This window comes from Homo sapiens, chromosome 20, assembly GCF_000001405.40.
Source record: "Homo sapiens chromosome 20, GRCh38.p14 Primary Assembly".
Lineage (NCBI taxonomy): Eukaryota > Metazoa > Chordata > Mammalia > Primates > Hominidae > Homo > Homo sapiens.
In genome coordinates this window covers 35410872-35429119 of record NC_000020.11, presented here as the reverse complement: position 1 = coordinate 35429119, position 18248 = coordinate 35410872, and the positions used below count along the sequence as shown (strand labels likewise).

At 45.6% G+C, this 18248-nt stretch overlaps 1 protein-coding gene across 6 annotated transcripts in view, besides 6 other annotated features; it reads left to right on the top strand.

Moving 5' to 3' along the window:
* Positions 1181-1381: a silencer, noted in NCBI's record as "peak4201 fragment used in MPRA reporter construct". NCBI's record gives its function as "represses an SCP1 promoter by STARR-seq MPRAs in K562 erythroleukemia cells {active_cell/tissue: K562}" and the evidence as "EXISTENCE:reporter gene assay evidence [ECO:0000049][PMID:32103011]".
* Positions 16169-16991: an enhancer, noted in NCBI's record as "H3K27ac-H3K4me1 hESC enhancer chr20:33999932-34000754 (GRCh37/hg19 assembly coordinates)". NCBI's record gives its function as "activates a minimal SCP1, AML or CMV promoter by ChIP-STARR-seq in naive H9 embryonic stem cells {active_cell/tissue: H9 hESC(naive)}" and the evidence as "EXISTENCE:reporter gene assay evidence [ECO:0000049][PMID:30033119]".
* Positions 16912-16961: an enhancer, noted in NCBI's record as "active region_17782". NCBI's record gives its function as "activates an Ori minimal core promoter by ATAC-STARR-seq in GM12878 lymphoblastoid cells {active_cell/tissue: GM12878}" and the evidence as "EXISTENCE:reporter gene assay evidence [ECO:0000049][PMID:35858748]".
* Positions 16992-17815: an enhancer, noted in NCBI's record as "H3K27ac-H3K4me1 hESC enhancer chr20:33999108-33999931 (GRCh37/hg19 assembly coordinates)". NCBI's record gives its function as "activates a minimal SCP1, AML or CMV promoter by ChIP-STARR-seq in naive H9 embryonic stem cells {active_cell/tissue: H9 hESC(naive)}" and the evidence as "EXISTENCE:reporter gene assay evidence [ECO:0000049][PMID:30033119]".
* Positions 17092-17241: an enhancer, noted in NCBI's record as "active region_17781". NCBI's record gives its function as "activates an Ori minimal core promoter by ATAC-STARR-seq in GM12878 lymphoblastoid cells {active_cell/tissue: GM12878}" and the evidence as "EXISTENCE:reporter gene assay evidence [ECO:0000049][PMID:35858748]".
* The window catches only part of UQCC1 (ubiquinol-cytochrome c reductase complex assembly factor 1), a 109396-nt gene continuing 108294 nt past the window's right edge, over positions 17147-18248 (top strand). For 5 of the 6 annotated variants that reach the window (NM_001184977.2, XM_011528878.3, NM_199487.3 and 2 more), the window contains exon 1: positions 17147-17180. In NM_001184977.2, coding sequence (NP_001171906.1) covers positions 17157-17180 — 24 coding nt within the window. In that variant the 5' untranslated portion in view covers positions 17147-17156. Of the gene's footprint in view, positions 17206-18248 lie in introns of all 6 variants that reach the window. The other variant, XM_011528879.2, reaches the window with a different exon arrangement.
* Positions 17302-17401: an enhancer, noted in NCBI's record as "active region_17780". NCBI's record gives its function as "activates an Ori minimal core promoter by ATAC-STARR-seq in GM12878 lymphoblastoid cells {active_cell/tissue: GM12878}" and the evidence as "EXISTENCE:reporter gene assay evidence [ECO:0000049][PMID:35858748]".

The following is an 18248-nucleotide window of genomic DNA, read 5'->3' as shown; positions in this document are numbered from 1 at the left end:
AATTAGCCGGGCGTGGTGGCATGCACCTTAGTCCCAGCTACTCCGGAAGCTGAGGCAGGAGAATAGCTTGAACCCAGGAGGCGGAGGTTGCAGTGAGCTGAGATCACACCACTGCACTCCAGCCTGGGTGACAGAGCAAGACTCCATGTTAAAAAAAAAAAAAAAAAAGACTGAAGGACTACCATGGGTAAAAGAGAAGTGATTGGTTTGTGTGGCTCCAAAGCACAGATCTGTAAAGAGAAGTAAAGGATAGCTCATTGCTGCTGTGTGTTCAGCAGCTCCTGGTGCCAGGCACTGAGCTAAATGCTTTTGTCCTGACTTCATTCATTCCTTACAACCATCCTGGGAGATAGCTACTATAATCTCCATTGTACAGATGAGCTACTATACTATATTCCTCCTTAGGCAGAAGTCAGATGAATTTAAAGGAGAGCTTTTTAAGTCTAAAGATGGAAAAGGCAAAATACTAAGTTCTCCATGGCAAGAAGAGCTTAGGGGTGGGTGTGGTGGCTCACATCTGTAATCCCAGCACTTAGGGAGGCTGAGGTGGGAGGACTCCTTGAGAACAGGAGTTTGAGACCAACCTGGGAAATATAGGGAGACTCTGTCTCTAAAAAATATTTAAAAATTAGCTGGGCATGGTGGTGTGTGGCTGTAGTCCCAGCTACTCAGGAGACTAAGGTGGGAGGATTGCTTGAGCCTGAGAGGTCGAGACTGTAGTGAGCTGAGATCACACCACTGCACTCCAGCCTGGGCTGGGAAACAGAGGGAGACCCTGTCTCAAAAAAATAAAAAATAGGCCAGGTGTGGTGGCTCACACCTGTAATCCCAGCACCTTGGGAGGCCAAGGCAGGTGGATCACTTGAAGCCAGGAGTTCGAGACTAGCCTGGCCAACATGATGAAACCCCGTTTCTGATAAAAATTAAAAAAAATTAGCTGGATGGGGTGGCGCACACCTGTAATCCCAGCTACTTGGGAGGCTGAGGCAGGAGAATTGCTGAACCAAAGAGGTGGAGGTTGCAATGAGCCGAGATCATGCCACTGCACTCCAGCCTGGGTGAAAGAGTGAGACTCCATCTTAAAAAAAATAAATAAATAAAAATAGAAAGCAAAAAGTAAAAAAAGAGTTTAGATAACGACTTGGGAAACTGGAAAAGGGATTTGAGCTTGGTTTAGAGGAAGAGAAAGAGCAGTGCAAGAGAGGGAAGTTGACTAGATAAACACTAAAGATCCCTCCAATCCTGCACATTGAACATAGGTTTGAGCTATGGTGTCAGACAGCCTGAAATTAAACTCCAGCTATGCCTCATTCTTGCTGTGTGAACTTGTGCAAAGTCACCACAGCTATCTTTCCTCAAGTTTCCTCATATGTCAAATGGAGACAATAATAGTTCTTATATCATGGAGCTGTTGGGAAGGTTATATATAATGTTCATAAAAAGTCCTTTGAAGAATGTCTGGCCTATAAACTTTACCTGTATTTATTGATAATGGGGGAGTCAAGGCCTGCAAACATGACATATTAAATAATAACAAAAGAAGTAAAGAATATAGCCTAGCCGGGCGCAGTGGCTAACGCCTGTAATTCCAGCACTTTGGGAGGCTGAGGCGGGCGGATCACAAGGTCAGGAGATTGAGACCATCCTGGCTAACACAGTGAAACCCTGTCTCTACTAAAAATACAAAAAATTAGCCGGGCATGGTGGCAGGCGTGTGTAGTCCCAGCTACTCAGGAGGTTGAGGCAAGAGAATGGCGTGAACCTGGGAGGCGGAGCTTGCAGTGAGCCGAGATCGCACCACTGCACTCCAGCTTGGGCAACAGAGTGAGAGTCTGTCTCAAAAAAAAAAAAAAAAAAAAAAGAATACAGCCTGGGCCGGGAGTTGTGGCTCACTCCTGTAATCCCAGCATTTTGGGAGGCCAAGGCGGATGGATCACATGAGGTCAGGAGTTCGAGACCAGCCTGGCCAATATGGCAAAACCCCATATCTACTAAAAACACAAAAATTAGCCAGGCGTGGTGGTGCACACCTGTAGTCCCAGCTACGTGGGAGGCTGAGGCATGAGGATCGCTTGAACCCGGGAGGCAGAGGTTGCAGAGAGCTGAGATCATGCCACTGCACTCCAGTCTGGGTGACAGAGTGAGACTCTGTCTCAAAAAAGAAAAAAAGAATACAGCCTGTGCAACACACTGAGACCCTGTCTCTGAAATAGCTGGGCCTGGTGGTACACGCCTGTAGTCCCAGCTATCTGGGCAGCTGAGAAAGGAGGATCACTTGAGCCAGGAGTTTGAGGCTGCAGTGAGCCATGGTCATGCCACAGCACTCCAGGCTAGGTGACAGAGTGAGACCCTGTGTCTGAAAAAAGAAAAAAAAGTAAAGAAAGAAATAAAGAATTATGTGAGAAATACATAATAGTTTAACTCAGGTAAATAAGAGAAAGAAGGTAATTAAATGTTCACATGACAAGTGAGTGGAACAATGGAGAAAATGGTAAGAAGGCTTCACGGAGGATAAGGGACTGAGCTGGGTCCTGAAGACTGAATGAAACTTGAGTGGAGTTTGTCTTGATCGATTTTCTGTTGCTGTAACAGAATGCTACAGAATGGTTAATCTGTGATGAACAGACATTTATTTAGCTCACAGTTCTGGAGGCTGGGAAGTTAAAGAGTGTGGTGCTGGTATCCAGTGAGGGCCTTGTGCTGCTTTATCCCATGGGCAAAGGGCAGAAGGTGGAAGCGAACATGTGAAACAGAGAAAGGCATCCGGGGCTGGATTCGCTTTATAACAACCCACTCTTGGCTGGGCGCGGTGGCTTACGCCTGTAATCTCAGCACTTTGGGAGGCCAAGGCAGGCGGATCACGAGGACAGGAGTTCAAGACCAGCCCTGATGGAGCTTAGTAGAAACCCTTTCTCTACTAAAAATACAAAAATTAGCCGGGCGTGGTGGTGCGCACCTGTAATCCCAGCTACTCAGGAGGCTGAGGCAAGATAATCGCTTGAACCCGGGAGGCAGAGGTTGCAGTAAGCCAAGATGATGCCACTGCACTCCAGCCTGGGCGACAGAGTGAGACTCCATCTCAAAACAAAACAAAACAAAAAAACAAAAACCCACTCATAATAACTAACCTGCTTCTGTGATGACAACATTAATCAATTCCCAGTGACTCAGCCCTCATGACCCAATCGCGTTCTTATTAGGGCCCACCTCCCAACGCTATGGTATTGGGGATTAAGTTTCCAACACATGAACTTTTGGAGGACACACTCAAAATACTCAAGCCATAGCAGGGTTGAAGGAAGACATATTCAGCATAGGGACTATATGAGCAAACGAATAACATGAGTTTGCAAGGTGCAGAGGACATATCTTCCCATCCTTAAAATCATATCATGTTGATGATTGGTTCCACTGACTCTGTGAAGGATGGCTTCAGCTGGGAGCTGCCAAGTCCCTTAGGTTTGGGCACTTGAGGCTGTCCACTTGCCTTCTGAGAGGTGCTGACTTGGAGAACAGAGAAAACCCAACAGCCAGGGCCTCAAAGATTAGACATATCGCTTGAGAGTTGGTGAGGAAAGAAAACAGTAGTAAAAACTGGTACTAGGAACTCCATGATATACGTAATATATTTTTGATATATAATATATTTTACTATATGGTAATACTCATATAGTAAAAATGATCCTTGAAGATTCTTTTAACTCTCTCTTCTCTTAACAAGTTTAGTATGACCATTTTTCCCCTCCAATAGGAAAACAGTTTCTTTGATTAAGGCCCATGTAAGCAGCTGCCTTGCATGTAGGGGCCATGTTGTAAGAAACATTTATCCTTTTTTTTTTTTTTTTTGAGTTGTAGTTTTGCTCTTGTTGCCCAGGACGGAGTGCAGTGGTGTGATCTTGGCTCACTGCAACCTCTGCCTCCCAGGTTCAAGCAATTCTCTTGCTTCAGCCTCCTAAGTAGCTGAGATTACAGGCGCCCGCCATCATGCCCAGCTAATTTTCGTATTTTTAGCAGAGACAGGGTTTCACCACGTTGGACAGGCTGGTCTCGAACTCCTGACCTCAGGTGATCCTCCTGCCTCAGCCTCCCAAAGTGCTGGGATTACAGGCGTGAGCCACCGCACCTGGCCAGAAACATTTATCTTTAAACAATAAAATCACATTCAGCCCAGTGAGATGCATACTCTATGAAGGAAGGAACCAAGACCAGCCGTGGAAACAGCACAGATTCATGTTCTCATCTCAAGCACTGCTAGCTGATTCTTCTTCCTTTTCTTTTTTTAAAAAATTGTGGTAATAAACACATAACAAAATTCACCATCTTAGCCATTTTGAAGCGCATACTTTATACTGTTAACTATATTCACATTGCTGTGCAACAGATCTCTGGAACTTTTTTATTTTGCAAAACTGAAACCCTCTACCCATTTGAGCAGCTTCCCATTTCCCTTTCCTCCCAGCCCCTGGCAGCCACCCTTCTACTTTTTGTCTCTATGAACGTGACTACTCCAGGTACCTTACATAAGTGGAATCATAGAGTATTGGTCTTTCTTCTTTTTTTTATGTTTTCCCTAAGAAGTCAAGTAAGTCAAATGGGTACATAATGTGACTCCATTGTATTTGTTGAATGAATGAACAATAACTGCCTTCAAAAGAGTTTATAGTCTAGTTATAGAGACAGGAATGCAAACAAATAATTTCCATTATTTTTTCTTTTTCTTTTTCTTTTATTTTTTCGAGATTGAGTTTCGTTCTTGTTGCCCAGGCTGGAGTGCAATGGCACCGTCTTGGCTCCCTGAAACCTCTGCCTCCCATGTTCAAGCTATTCTCCTGCCTCAGCCTTCCAAGTAGCTGGGATTGCAGGCGCCTGCCACCACGCCTGGCTAATTTTTTTGTATTTTTAGTAGAGACGGGGTTTCACCACATTGGCCAGGCTGGTCTCAAACTCCTGACCTCAGGTGATCCGTCTGCCTTGGCCTTCCAAAGTGCTGGGATTACAAGTGTAAGCCAACGTGCCTGGCCATATTTTTACTTTTTTTTGAGACAGGGTCTCCCTCTGTGGCCCAGGCTGGAGTGCAGTAGCGCAATCTTGGTTCACCGTAACCTCTGCCTCCTGGGCTCAAGCAATCCTCCCATCTCAGCCTCCTGAGTAGCCAGGACCACAGCTGTGCACCACCACGGCCAACAATTTATTTATCTCTTTTTTGTAGAGACGGGGTCTTGCCATGTTGCCCAGGCTGGTCTTGAACTCCTAAGCTCAAGCAATCTACCCGTCCAGCACTTTGGGAGGTTGAGGCGGATGGATCATTTCAGGCCAGGAGTTTGAGACCACCTGGCCAGCATGGCAAAACCCTGTGTCTACTAAGAAAACAAAAATTAGTTGGGCATGGTGGCACAGGCCTGTAATCCCAGATACTCAGGGGGCTGAGGCATGAGCCTGGAAAGCGGAGGCTGCAGTGAGCTGAGATCGTGCCACTGCACTCCAGCCCGGGTGGCAGAGTGAGACTCTGTCTCAAAAAAGGATAGAATTTAATGCCTGCTTGGAAATGGTTTCAGTATATTCAATATCATTCACCCCTTCCTATTTTGCCATGTTTAAGAATTGATTTTAAAGTCTTAGTAAGATATGTAAAATGCAAGACAAGATAAATCAAATGTGAATCAATAGGAAAAGAAAACAAGGGAACAAAATGAAGCCAAGAATGGGGCTAAAATGTGGATCATATTGATCTATATCTGCTACAGGTGAGCAATACCTAAGCTGTCTAGCAATCAATACAAAGCAAGAAAATAGGCTATTACACAGGTTATTGCATCTGAGTTAATCAAGCATTGCTCAGCAAATTGTACAGCCATTCTTGAAAACTAATGTAACAAATATCTTCAATTACATTATTACAATAAACACAACAATAAGATTCATAGAAAGGTTTCTTTTTCTTTTTCTTTTTTTTTTTTTTTTTTTTTTTTTTTTGAGACAGAGTCTTGTTCTGTCACCCAGACTGGAGTACAGTGGCGTGATCTTGGCTCATTGCAACCTTCTTCTCTCAGGTTCAAGAGATTCTCATGCCTTAGCCTCCCGAGTAGCTGGGATTACAGGCACATGACACCACACCTGGCTAATTTTTGTATTTTTAGTAGAGACAGCGTTTCACCACATCAGCCAGGCTGGTCTCAAACTCCTGACCTCAAGTGACCGCCAGCCTCAGCCTCCCAAAGTGCTGGGATTACAGGCATGAAACACCGCGCCCGGCCAATAGAATGGTTTCTTAATAGAATTGTCTGCACTGCACTAAGGGGCAAAGAAAACAACTTTGTGTGGGGGCCAATAAGACACAGAAACCAGCCCTCTGCTGGGTTAATTGACAGGTAAAGGGCATAGACTGTTCCTCAAAGAGAAACAGACATCATAACTGATCCCATTGGCAAATATTGTCCTGTAGTCATAGAGTATATATATTCTGAAAGTTCTAGAACAGTTTCAGCATAAAATTTGTCTTTTTAATAAAGGTCATTTGGCCAGGCTCAGTGGCTCACACCTGTAATCCCAACACTTTGGGAGGCCGAGTCAGGTGGATCACTTGAGGCCAGGAGTTTGAGACCAGCCTGGCCAACATGGTGAAACCCTGTCTCGACTAAAAATACAAAAATTAGCCAGGTGTGGTAGTGTGCACCTGTAATTCCAGCTACTCAGGAAGCTGAGGCAGGAGGATCTCTTGAACACCAAAGGCGGAGGTTGCAGTTAGCCGGGATCATGCCACTGCACTCCAGCTTGGGTGACGGAGTGAGACTCTGTCTCAAAAAAATAAAAAACAAACCATGATTTATGGCTGGGCAAGGTGGCTCACACCTATAATCCCAGCATTTTCAGAAGCCCAGGTGGGAGGATCGCTCATGTCCAGGAATTTGAGACCAGCCTGGGCAACAGAGCAAGACCCCATCTCTACAAAAAGTAAAAATAATTACCTGGGCCTAGTGGTATGTGCCCGTGGTCCCAGCTACTTGGGAGGCTGAGGTGGGAGGATCACTTGAGCCGGGAGTTTGAGGCTGCAATGAGTTGTGATCATGCCACTGTGCTCAGCATGGGTGACAGAGGGAGACCTTATCTCTAAAAAAAAAAGGTGATTGGCTGGGCGTGGTGGCTCACACTTGTAATCCCAGCACTTTGGGAGGCCGAGGTGGGTGGATCACCTGAGGTCAGGATGCACTATCAACATAACTTGCTGATCAAGACCAGTCTGGCCAACGTGGTGAAACCTTGTCTCTACTAAAAATACAAAAATTAGCCGGGGGTGGTGGCAGGCACCTGTAATCCCAACTACTCAGGAGGCTGAGGCAGGAGAGTTGCTTGAACCCCGGAGGCAGAGGTTGCGGTGAGCCGAGATCGCGCCATTGCACTGCAGCCTGGGCAACAGAGTGAGACTCCATCTCAAAAAAAAAAAAAAGGTGATTTATTAAATATTTAACTTTCCTAAAGATTTTCACATAGATAAATTTGTAAATCAGCATAAATTCTTGATAGACAATGGCTTTTCGTTTTAGGAAAGCACAATCACTTTATTTGAATGGAGGTGGGTACCTTCGGCTTGATTGCATAATCTAATGGGATTGGGACACTGCCCCCCTTCCCTTCTTCTTTCTGGCTTCCTCTAACAGTTTTTTTCTCCAGGGAAAGAATGTATCACCTTACCTCTTCCAGGGAGGGACTCTTGATCCTTGGCAGTTAACAGAGAATAAAAGAGGTTTCCTTATTTGAAGCTAAAATGAAAACAACTTGGATAGCTTTCCAGTTTCATATACAGTGAAAGCAAGCTAGAGCAAGCCCCAAAATTGGGGTCGCATTAACATCTCAACTTGCCAAGCCTAAAGAGCATGCTGGAAGTAAACTATGCTATGATCTACAATCTATTCTCTGTAAACCAGCTAAGAGAGCCCTTTTAAAACATGTCACTGCTTTGCTTAAAATAAAATAAAATAAAATGCAAACTCCTTATCATGGACCTTCAAGGCCCCCAAAATCTGGACTCTGCCTGCCTCTCAGACCTCATCTTTTTTTTTTTTTTTTTTTTTTTTGAGACGGAGTCTCGCTCTGTTGCCCAGGCTGGAGTGCAGTGGCACGATCTTCGCTTACTGCAAGCTCTGCCTCCCGGGTTCACACCATTCTCCCGCCTCAGCCTCCCGAGTAGCTGGGAATACAGGCGCCCACCACCACGCCCGGCTAATTTTTTCTGTTTTTAGTAGAGATGGGATTTCACTGTGTTAGCCAGGATGGTCTCGATCTCCTGAACTCGTGATCCACCCGCCTCGGCCTCCCAAAGTGCTGGGATTACAGGCGTGAGCCACCTCGCCCTGCCTCAGACCTCATCTTTTATACTGCAACCCTCACTCATTATCTTCCAGTCACACTGATCTTGGCTTTCCTTTTGTCCTCAAAATCTTCAAGCCAATTCTTGAATTGTGCTATTCTTTCTGCCTGAAATGCTCTATCAACATAACTTGCTGATCAAGTCAGTTGTAGTAGTCCAGGTGAGAGAAGACGTTAGTCTTACCTAGGAAGGAGGCAGTGGAGATTGGCGAGGAGCAGATAGAATTCATACGTATTGGCCGGGCATGGTGGCTCATGCCTGTAATCCCAGCACTTTGGGAGGCTAAGGCAGGTGGATCATGAGGTCAGGAGTTCAAGACCAGCCTTATCAACATGGTGAAACCCCGTCTCTACTAAAAATATAAAAATTAGCCAGGCGTGGTGGTGGGTGCCTTTAATCCCAGCTACTCAGGAGGCTGAGGCAGGAGAATCACTTGAACCTGGGAGGTGGAGGTTGCAGTGAGTGGAGACGCGCCATTGCACTCCAGCCTGGGTGTCACAATGAGACTCCATCTCAAAAAAAAAAAAAAAAAAAAAAGAAGAGGAAGAGAAGAGACACAGAGACAGACACCCAGGGAGAATGTCATGTGATAACAGTGGCAGAGATTGGAGTTATGCAGGTGCAAGGTAAGAAATGCCAGGGATTGTTGGCAATCTCCAGAAGCTAGAAAAGGCAAGGAAGCTTCCTCTCCTGGAACCTACAGATAGAGCGTGGCCCTGTCAACACCTTGATTTCAGACTTCCAGCCTCCATAACTACCAAACAATACATTTCCATTGCTTTAAGCCACCCACATAGTGGCACTTTTTTATGGCAGCCCTAACAATCTAATGTAGTTATAAATGGTGGTTTTGAAGAAGGTGGACAGAGTATAACTTAATAAAGGTTGAAAACCATATTTAGTGGTACCAATATAATATTTGCATGATTTTCTTCGATAGTACTCAAGAATCCGGAGGCAGGCATGGAATAAATAGACAATTGGAGGGTTGAGGTCTTTCTAGGTGGACGAGATAGGAAGACAATTGAGCAAGGGAGTTAATACTGGCAAGAGAGAAATTAAAACAATAGACCAGATGGGAACTAGATGGGAGAAGCAAAGAGGGGAGAGGGTCAATAGACTATAAAGAGAAGAGATAAAAAGTGTGGTGTCTCAATGGGGTAGAACAACAGGCGTACTAGGGGTAATGAATGAAAACCAGAATAATAGGATGGTGAGAACACAGAAGGCATAAATTAAAAATTTCAGAATTCAAACAATTCTGGTGTTGAGGTCTAAAATTGGCCATGGGAGTGGGTGGGGCAGCACACTTTATAGAAATGGAACAATCCAATATGTGGCCTCTTGTGACTGGTTTCTTTCATTTAATGTTTTTTGAGGGTCATTCATGTTGTAGCATGTATTAGTATTTCATTTCTTTTTATTGCTGCGTAATAATCCATTGTCTGGATATAGCATATTGTGGTTTTTTCATTTTTTTAGTTTTGCTCTTGTTGCCCAGGCTGGATTGGAGTGCAATGGCACGATCTCGGCTCATTGCAACCTCCACCTCCCGGGTTCAAGCAGTTTTCTTGCCTCAGCCTCCCAAGTAGCTGGGATTACAGGCGCCTGCCACCATGCCCGGCTAATTTTTTTGGTATTTTTAGTAGAGACAGGGTTTCGCCATGTTGGCCAGGCTGGTCTCGAACTCCTGACCTCGAGTGATCCCCCCCACCTCGGCCTCCCAAAGAGCTGGGATTACAGGCGTGAGCCACTGTGCCTGGCCACCATATTGTTTTTATCTATTCTTTGGTTGATGGATATTTGGGTTGCTTCTACTTTTCGGCTATTATGAATAATGCTGTGATGAACATTTGCAAACAAGTTTTTGTGTGGATATATATTTTCATTTCTCTTGGATATATACCTAGGAATGGAATGGCTGAATCATATAGTAACTGTATGTTTAAAATTCATAGAACAGCCAGACTGTTTTCCAAGAGTTTGCAGTGAGCTGAGATTGCTCCAGCCTGGGCGACAGAGCAAGAGTCTCTCTCAAAAAAAAAAAAATTTTTTTTTTCTTCATAGAGATGGGGTCTCACTATGTTGCCCAGACTGGTCTCAAACTCCTGGCCTCAAGGAATCCTCTTGCCTGGGCTGCCTGAGTTGCTGGGATTATGGGCATGAGCCACCATGCTTGGCCCAATTGTTTTATTTTAAATAAACGGCTGGGTTTCAATGTGGGGCCTATAAAGAAGTATGGGAATTCTGAGGGGTGAAGTCATTGTGAAGAGAAAGATGGGCAGAGGGAGCTTGGGGAGAACAGTGGAGATTGCTGGGGCTTCAGGCTGAGGGTTTGGGGTACAAGAAGTTGAGGAGCTCTGGCAGCGGAGGGAAGCCGAGCAGCACTGGGGAGCTGAGGTTAAGGAGAATGGGGAGTCCTCTGTGAGAGGACTATGGAATCTATGTGAGATAAAGTTGTCTATACTGCCAGCCCATTCCTAGAAAGTTCCTTCTACTTTCTGCATGAATGAAACCTGGCCTTCCCATTTGAATATTACTTCCCTTGTAGCCCTCTCTGGAATGTTGTCTGCCATCATTATATGCTCTGTTTGTGTTAAGACTGGGAGTTGACCAGGTACGGTGGATCACCCCTGTAATCCCAGCACTTTGGGAGGCAGAGGCGGGCAGATCACCTGAGGTCAGGAGTTCGAGACCAGCCTGACCAATATGGTGAAACCCCGCCTCTGCTAAAAATACAAAAATTAGGTGGGCTTGGTGGCGGGCGCCTGTAATCCCAGCTACTCAGGAGGCCGAGGCTGGAGAATCGCTTGAACCCAGGAGGCGGAGGTTGCAGTGAGCCGAGATTGCGCCATTGGACTCCAGCCTGGGTGACAGAGCAAGACTCCATCTCAAAAAACAAACAAACAAACCACAACAAAAACTGTTTCTTGATTTTTTATTTTAATTAATTAATGTATATATTTTTTGAGACAGGGTCTCACTTTGTCACCCAGGCTGGGGTACAGTGGCACGATCAGTGCTCACTGCAGCCTTGACCTCCCCAGGCTCAGGTGATCCTCCCATCTCAGCCTTCTGCGTAGCTGGGACCACAGGCATACACCACCACACCCAGCTAATTTTTCTGTGTTTTCAGTAGAGGCAGGGTTTTGCCATGTTACCCAGGCTGGTCTCAAACTCTTGGGCTCAAGAGATCTGCCCAGCCTGGCCTCCCAAAATGTTGGGATTACAGGTGTGAGCCACCGTACATGGCCCAAAGTCAACTTCTTAAATATGAATTAGGTAGCCCTCCCTACTTAATATCCTCCAATGGCTGCATACGGTGGCTCTCACATGTAGTCCCGGTTACTCAGGAGGCTGAGGCAGGAGGATCCCTTGAGCCCAGGAGTTCATGATCAGGTTGGGCAACATAGAGAGATCCTGTCTCTTAAAATATAATTCCTCTGGCCAGATGCGGTGGCTCACGCCTGTAATCCCAGCACTTTGGGAGGCCAAGGCGGGCGGATCACGAGGTCAGGAGTTCAAGAACAGCCTGGCCAATATGGTGAAATCCTGTCTCTACTAAAAATGCAAAAATTAGCCGGGCATGGTGATGCACAGCTGTAGTCCCAGCTATTCGGGAGGCTGAGGCAGAAGAATCACTTGAATCCGGGAGGCAGAGGTTGCAGTGAGCTGAGATTGCGCCACTGCACTCGAGCCTGGGCGACAGAGCGACCCCCGACCATACCCGGCTAATTTTTTGTATTTTTTTGTAGAGACAGAGTTTAGCCATGTTGCCTAGGCTGGTCTCGAACTCCTGGTCTCAGGTGATCCACCTGCCTCGGCCTCCCAAAAGTGTTGGGATTACAGGCATGAACCACTGCACCCGGCCTTAAAATGTACTGTTTTTTTTCCCCACCTCAAGACTCTTGTTCTGAAATCTTCTGTCCCTCTCCCACTTCCCAACATTTGCTGATAGAATAGCATTTGTACAGACACATAGACCAATAGAACAGAATAGAGACCCAAAATAAACCTATGCATTTACAGTCAATTGATTTTCAACAACGGTGCAAAGAACACACAATGGGTAAAGGGCAGTCTTTTTAATAAATGGTGTAGGGACAACTAGATATCCACATGCAGAATGAAATTAGACTCTCACCTCATACCATATACAAAAATCGAAGGTCGGGTGTTATGGCTCACACCTTTAATCCTAGCACTTTGAGAGGCTGAGATGAGAGGATTGCTCAAGCCCAGAAGATTGAGACCAGCCTGGGAAACATAGAGAGACCCCCGTACCCCATCTCTACTAAAAATAAAAAAATTAGCTAGGCATGGTGGCACATGCCTACGGACCCAGCTATTCAAGAGGCTGAGGAGGGAGGATCACTTAAGCCCAGGACTTTGAGGCTACAGTGAGCCTTGATTGCACCACTGCACTCCAGCCTGGGTGACAGAGCAAGACCCTGTCTCAAATAAAAATCAATTCCAAATAGATTTAAGCCTTAAACACAAGACCTCAAACTAAAATTACTAGAAGAAGAAAATATAGAGGAAAAGCTGCATGACCTGGGTCTGGGCAATAATTTTTTTAATATGACCCCAAAAGTACAGGCAAAAAGAGTGAAAATAGAGAAATAGTGTTATATGAAACTAAGAAACTTTTGCACAGCAAAGGAAACAATCAACGGAGTGAAGAGACAACGTATGGAATGGGAGAAAACATTTAAAAACCATATATCTGATGAGGGGTTAATACCCAAATTTTAAAATGGGCAAAAGATCTGAATAGACATTTCTCAAAAGAAGACATACAAATGGCCAACAAGTATATGAAAAAATGCTCAGCATCATTAATCATCAGGGAAATGCAATCTAAAGCCACAATGAGATATTACCTTGCACCTGTTCGAATGGCTACTATAACATTGTTCCTAAGGACGTGGAGAAAGGGAACCCTTGCACACTGTTGGTGGAATGTAAATTAGTACACCCATTATAGAAAACAGTATGGAGGTTCCTCAAACAATTAAAAACAGAACCACCATAGGATACAGCAGTCTCACTATTGGATATATATTCAAAGGAGATGAAATCAGTATGTTGAAGAGGCATCTATACTAACATGTTCATTGCAGTGGTATTCACAACAGCCAAGTATGGAATTAACCTAAGTGTCCATTAGTGATGAACAAATAAAGAAAATGTGGTGGCTGGGCGTGGTTGTTCACGCCTGTAATTCCAGCACTTTGGGAGGCCGAGGTGGGCAGATCATGAGGTCAGGAGACCGAGACCATCCTGACCAACATGGTGAAACCCGTCTCTACTAAAAATACAAAAATTAGCTGGGTGTAGTGGTGCACGCCTGTAATCCCTGCTACTCAGGAGGCTGAGGCAGGAGAATCGCTTGAACCTGGGAGGGGGAGGTTGCAGTGAGCTGAGATTGCATCACTGCACTCTAGCCTGGTGGCAGAGTGAGACTCCGTCTCAAAAAAAAAAAAAAAAAAAAAGAAAAAAGAAAGAAAGAAAGAAAGAAAATGTGGTTTATGACCAGGTACAGTGACTCATGCCTGTAATCCCAGTACTTTGGGAGGCAGAGGTGGGCAGATGACTTGAGGCCAGGAGTTCGAGACCAGCCTGGCCAGCATGGTGAAACCCTGTCTCTACTAAAAATACAAAAATTAGCCGGACATGGTGGCACGTGCCTGTAGTCCCAGCTACTTGGGAGACTGAGGCACAAGAATTGCTTGAACCCAGGAGGTACAGGCTGCAGTGAGCTGGGATTGTGTCACTGCACTCCACCCTGGGCGGCAGAGCAAGACTCTGTCTCAAAAAAAAAAAAAAGTGATTTATATATATAATGGAATGCTATTCAGCCTAAAAGAAGAAGGAAATGCTGGCCAGGTGCGGTGGCTCACACCTGTAATCCCAACACTTTGGGAAGCCAAGGTGGGCAGATCACCTGAGGTCGGGAGCTCAAGACCAGCCTGACCAACATGGAGAAACCCCATCTCTACTAAAAATAAAAATTAGCTGGGTGTGGTGGCACATGCCTGTAGTCCAGGCTACTTGGGAGGCTGAGGCAGGAGAATTGCTTGAACCCGGGAGGGAGAGGTTGCAGTGAGCCAAGATTGTGCCACTGCACTCCAGCCTGGGCAACAAGAGCAAGACTCTGTCTCAAGGAAAAAAAAAAGAAGGAAATGCTCATATCTATGACAACATGGATGAACTGGGAGGATGTTATGTTAAGAGAAATAAATGAGGCACAGAAAGACAAACACTGCTTGATTTCTCTCATATGTGGAATATAAGTTGAACACACAGAAGTAGAGAGTAGAATGGTGGTTACTAGAGGCTGAGGAGATGTTTGTCAAAGGATACAAAATTTCAGTTAAGAGAGATAAGTTCAGGAGGCCACTTTGGGAGGCCAAGGCAGGCGGATCACCTGAGGTCGGGAGTTCGAGACCAGCCTGACCAACATGGAGAAACCCCGTCTCTACTAAAATATAATATTAGCTGGGCGTGGTGGCGCATGCCTGTAATCCCAGCTACTCAGGAGGCTGAGGCAGGAGAATCACTTGAACCCGGGAGGCAGAGGTTGCAGTGAGCCAAGATCACGCCATTGCGCTCCAGCCTGGGCAACAAGAGTGAAACTCCGTCTCAAAAAAAAAAAGAAAAGATCTATTGTATAACATGGTGACTATACCCACTATGAATATGTATTGTATTCTTGAAAATTGCTTAAAGAACATATTTTAAACATTTCCAGCACAAAAATATGAGGTAATGCATATATTAATTAGCTTGACTTAGCCATTTCACAATGTATACATATTTTAAAACATCCTGGCCGGGGGCACGGTGGCTCACTCTTGTAATCCCAGCACTTTCGGAGGCCGATGTGGGTGGATCACCTGAGGTTAGGAGTTTGAGACCGTCCTAGCCGAAATGGCAAAACCCCGTCTCTACTGAAAACACAAAAATTAGCCAGGCGTGGTGGTGCGCATCTGTAATCCCAGCTACTTGGGAGTCTGAGGCAGGAGAATCGCTTGACTTGGGAGGTGGAGGTTGCAGTGAGCCGAGATTGAGCCACTGCACTCCAGCCTGGGCGACAAGAGTGAAACTCTGTCTCAAAAAAAAAAAAAAAAAGAAAAAAGAAAACATCCTGTTGTACACAATATATATTTTTTGTCAATTAATAAAAATCAATAAATTTAATTAAAAAAATAGTCGAGTGAAGTTATTTCCCATGACTAGCTCCTCTTCTTCCTTTAGATTTCATCTTACATGTCACTTTCTTGGAGAGGCCTTACCAACCTAACCAAAGTAGCTCCCCAGTTTTAATTTTTTTCACTGGGTTCCTATGCCTCCCCCACCAGTCTAAGAACTCCATGAAGCCAGTATGTCTTGTGTTCAGCACATAGGGAAGACTCAATAGGTCTTTGTTGACTGAATGAAATGAAAGAAGTCCTTCAACATCCTGCCCCTCTGCTCCCTCAACCCCCAAAGCACCAGTACTTTGTCTTCTCTTCTCTTGGGATGTAATGGAAGAGGAGTCTTCTACCAAGGCCGTTCTCTGCCACTTTCCTCAAGAAGCTCCTTGCCTCTTTGATTGATTCTCCTGTATACTCTTTTTTTTTTTTTTTTTTTGAGACGGAGTCTCGCTTTGTCACCCAGGCTGGAGTTCAGTGCCCCAGTCTCAGCTCACTGCAACCTCTGCCTCCCGGGTTCAAGCGATTCCCTGCCTCAGCCTCCCAAGTAGCTGGGATTACAGGCACACGCCACCATGCCCGGCTAATTTTTTTCGTATTTTCAGTAGAGACGGGGTTTCACCATATTGGTCAGGCTGGTCTTGAACTCCTGACCTCAGGCAATCCACCTGCCTCGGCCTCCCAAAGTGTTGGGATTACAGGCATGAGCCACCGGGCACGGCCCTGTATACTCTTCACTAATCTTTTCCTATCAATATGCAAAGATGTTTCCCTTAAACAACCAACCAACCACAAATCCCAAAAGTTTCTTCCTCTACCAGGCTTCAGATCGGCACATGACCGCCTTCTTGCCTTGACTTTCAGGAGTCTGGTATCCCCCGTATTCTTTTATCTTAGCCTCCTTCTCTGGCTTTTTTTTTTTTTTTTTTTTTTTTTTTTTTGAGACAGAGTCCAGTCCTGCTCTGTCGCCCAGGCTGGAGTGCAGTGGCGCGATCTCGGCTCACTGCAACCTCTGCCTTCAGAGTAGCTGGGATTACAGGCACACACCAACATGCCCGGCTACTTTCTTTGTATTTTTAGTTAGGGACGGGGTTTTGCCATGTTGGCCAGGCTAGTCTCGAACTCCTGATCTCAGGTGATCCGCCCGCCTCGGCCTCCCAAAGTGCTGGGATTACAGGCGTGAGCCACCGCGCCCGGTCTTCTGGCTCTTTCTAAAGATTGGGATTTCCTAAAGTCCTGTTCTTTTCAACCTCCATTGAAAAGTGTTGGGGTGGAGTTTGGGAAGGAGGGGCTGAGGAGTGAGGCTGGGTTAGGTGGGGAATAAAGAGAGGGATATGAGAAGCCCCGAGGTCTGGGGTCAAGGAGACAGGCGTGGGGGAAGGATTTGAACCACTGTTACGTGTAGTGGGGGAGACAGCAGGGAGAGCGTGCCCGGGCACGACAGCCTGGTGCACAGCCGAGAAAACAACAGCGCGTGCGCGTAGCGACCTCTTTGCGCCTGCGCCCCCCTTGCCAGTCTTTCGCCGGCAAAAGGAGGACGTAGAAAAGGGGACACCGGAAACTCACTCTTCACCCGGAAATGGTTATTGAGGAACATGGCGTTGCTGGTGCGAGTCCTTGTGAGTGAAGGAGTAATTTTCTACGGTAGCTCTCTGGGTCCCGGGTTGGAGTTCGACAAGGCAGGGCGGGAGGAATTGGAAGGAATCGCAGGAGGGAAGCCTGTGTTATAGCTAGGCTGAGTGGCCGCTTTTCCGTGGGGAAACTGAGGCAGCTTCCGACCTCTTCCTACCCCGTTTTGACCTTAGCTCCCCCATCTTTCGAGAAGGGGAAGACTGACATCTGGCCTTTATTTGATGGGGTTTACTTTTCCTTCCCTCCCCCATGTACCTGCTTCCCCTCAGGGAGAGGAGCATGTAGGACACTGATTGGAGTTTCAGGAGGCCTGGGTTCTAGTCCCTGACTGTCACTGATGCATAGTGACTTTAAGCAAGTCACTTTTGGGCCTCATTGACCCTATGTGAAAAACGAGGACATTTATCTCCTGCAGTCCCTTTAGATTCTGAGATTCTCAGGGTTTCTTTCATAGGTAATAAGTCAGTTCTTAACTGTACAGTTAAGTGGAATATAGATTATTAGATTGAAAGCTGCGTGAGAATTGGAGTCATGTCTGTCTCCGTCGTTTTCACTTTGCCTAGCATGGTGTCTGGCACATCATAGGTGTTAAATGATTACTTGTTGAATAAATGAATGAAGTAAGGAAAGACTACCAGACTCTTTAGCACCCGTGTGTGAAACTACTGCACCTCTTGAGATTTAGTCCTGACCCTTCTAGCATACTCTTTTCTCTAGCAATTAAAGGAGAAAAGAAAGTGGCAGCAGAAAAAACGTTAGGATACAGAGCTTAGTTTTTAATCATGGAGGGATGGGAGAGTGTATAGTTTTAGCGAGTCTTCAAAAACTGGGTCAAAGACACTGTTTTTCATAGTAGACATGGTCTATTCCTGTGTCTAGGTAACTTCTGAATTGTTATTTTACATTTGTGTTTTTGATCTTTTTATATATGTCTTACAAGGACGACAGTTTTACTTCTTGTATTCCTTGCCAGCCTAGCAGAGTGAGGTACCCTCGACTGCTGTTCAGTAAATATTTATTTGTAGAGTAGCCCCTGTAACTGCCAGAAAGATTCA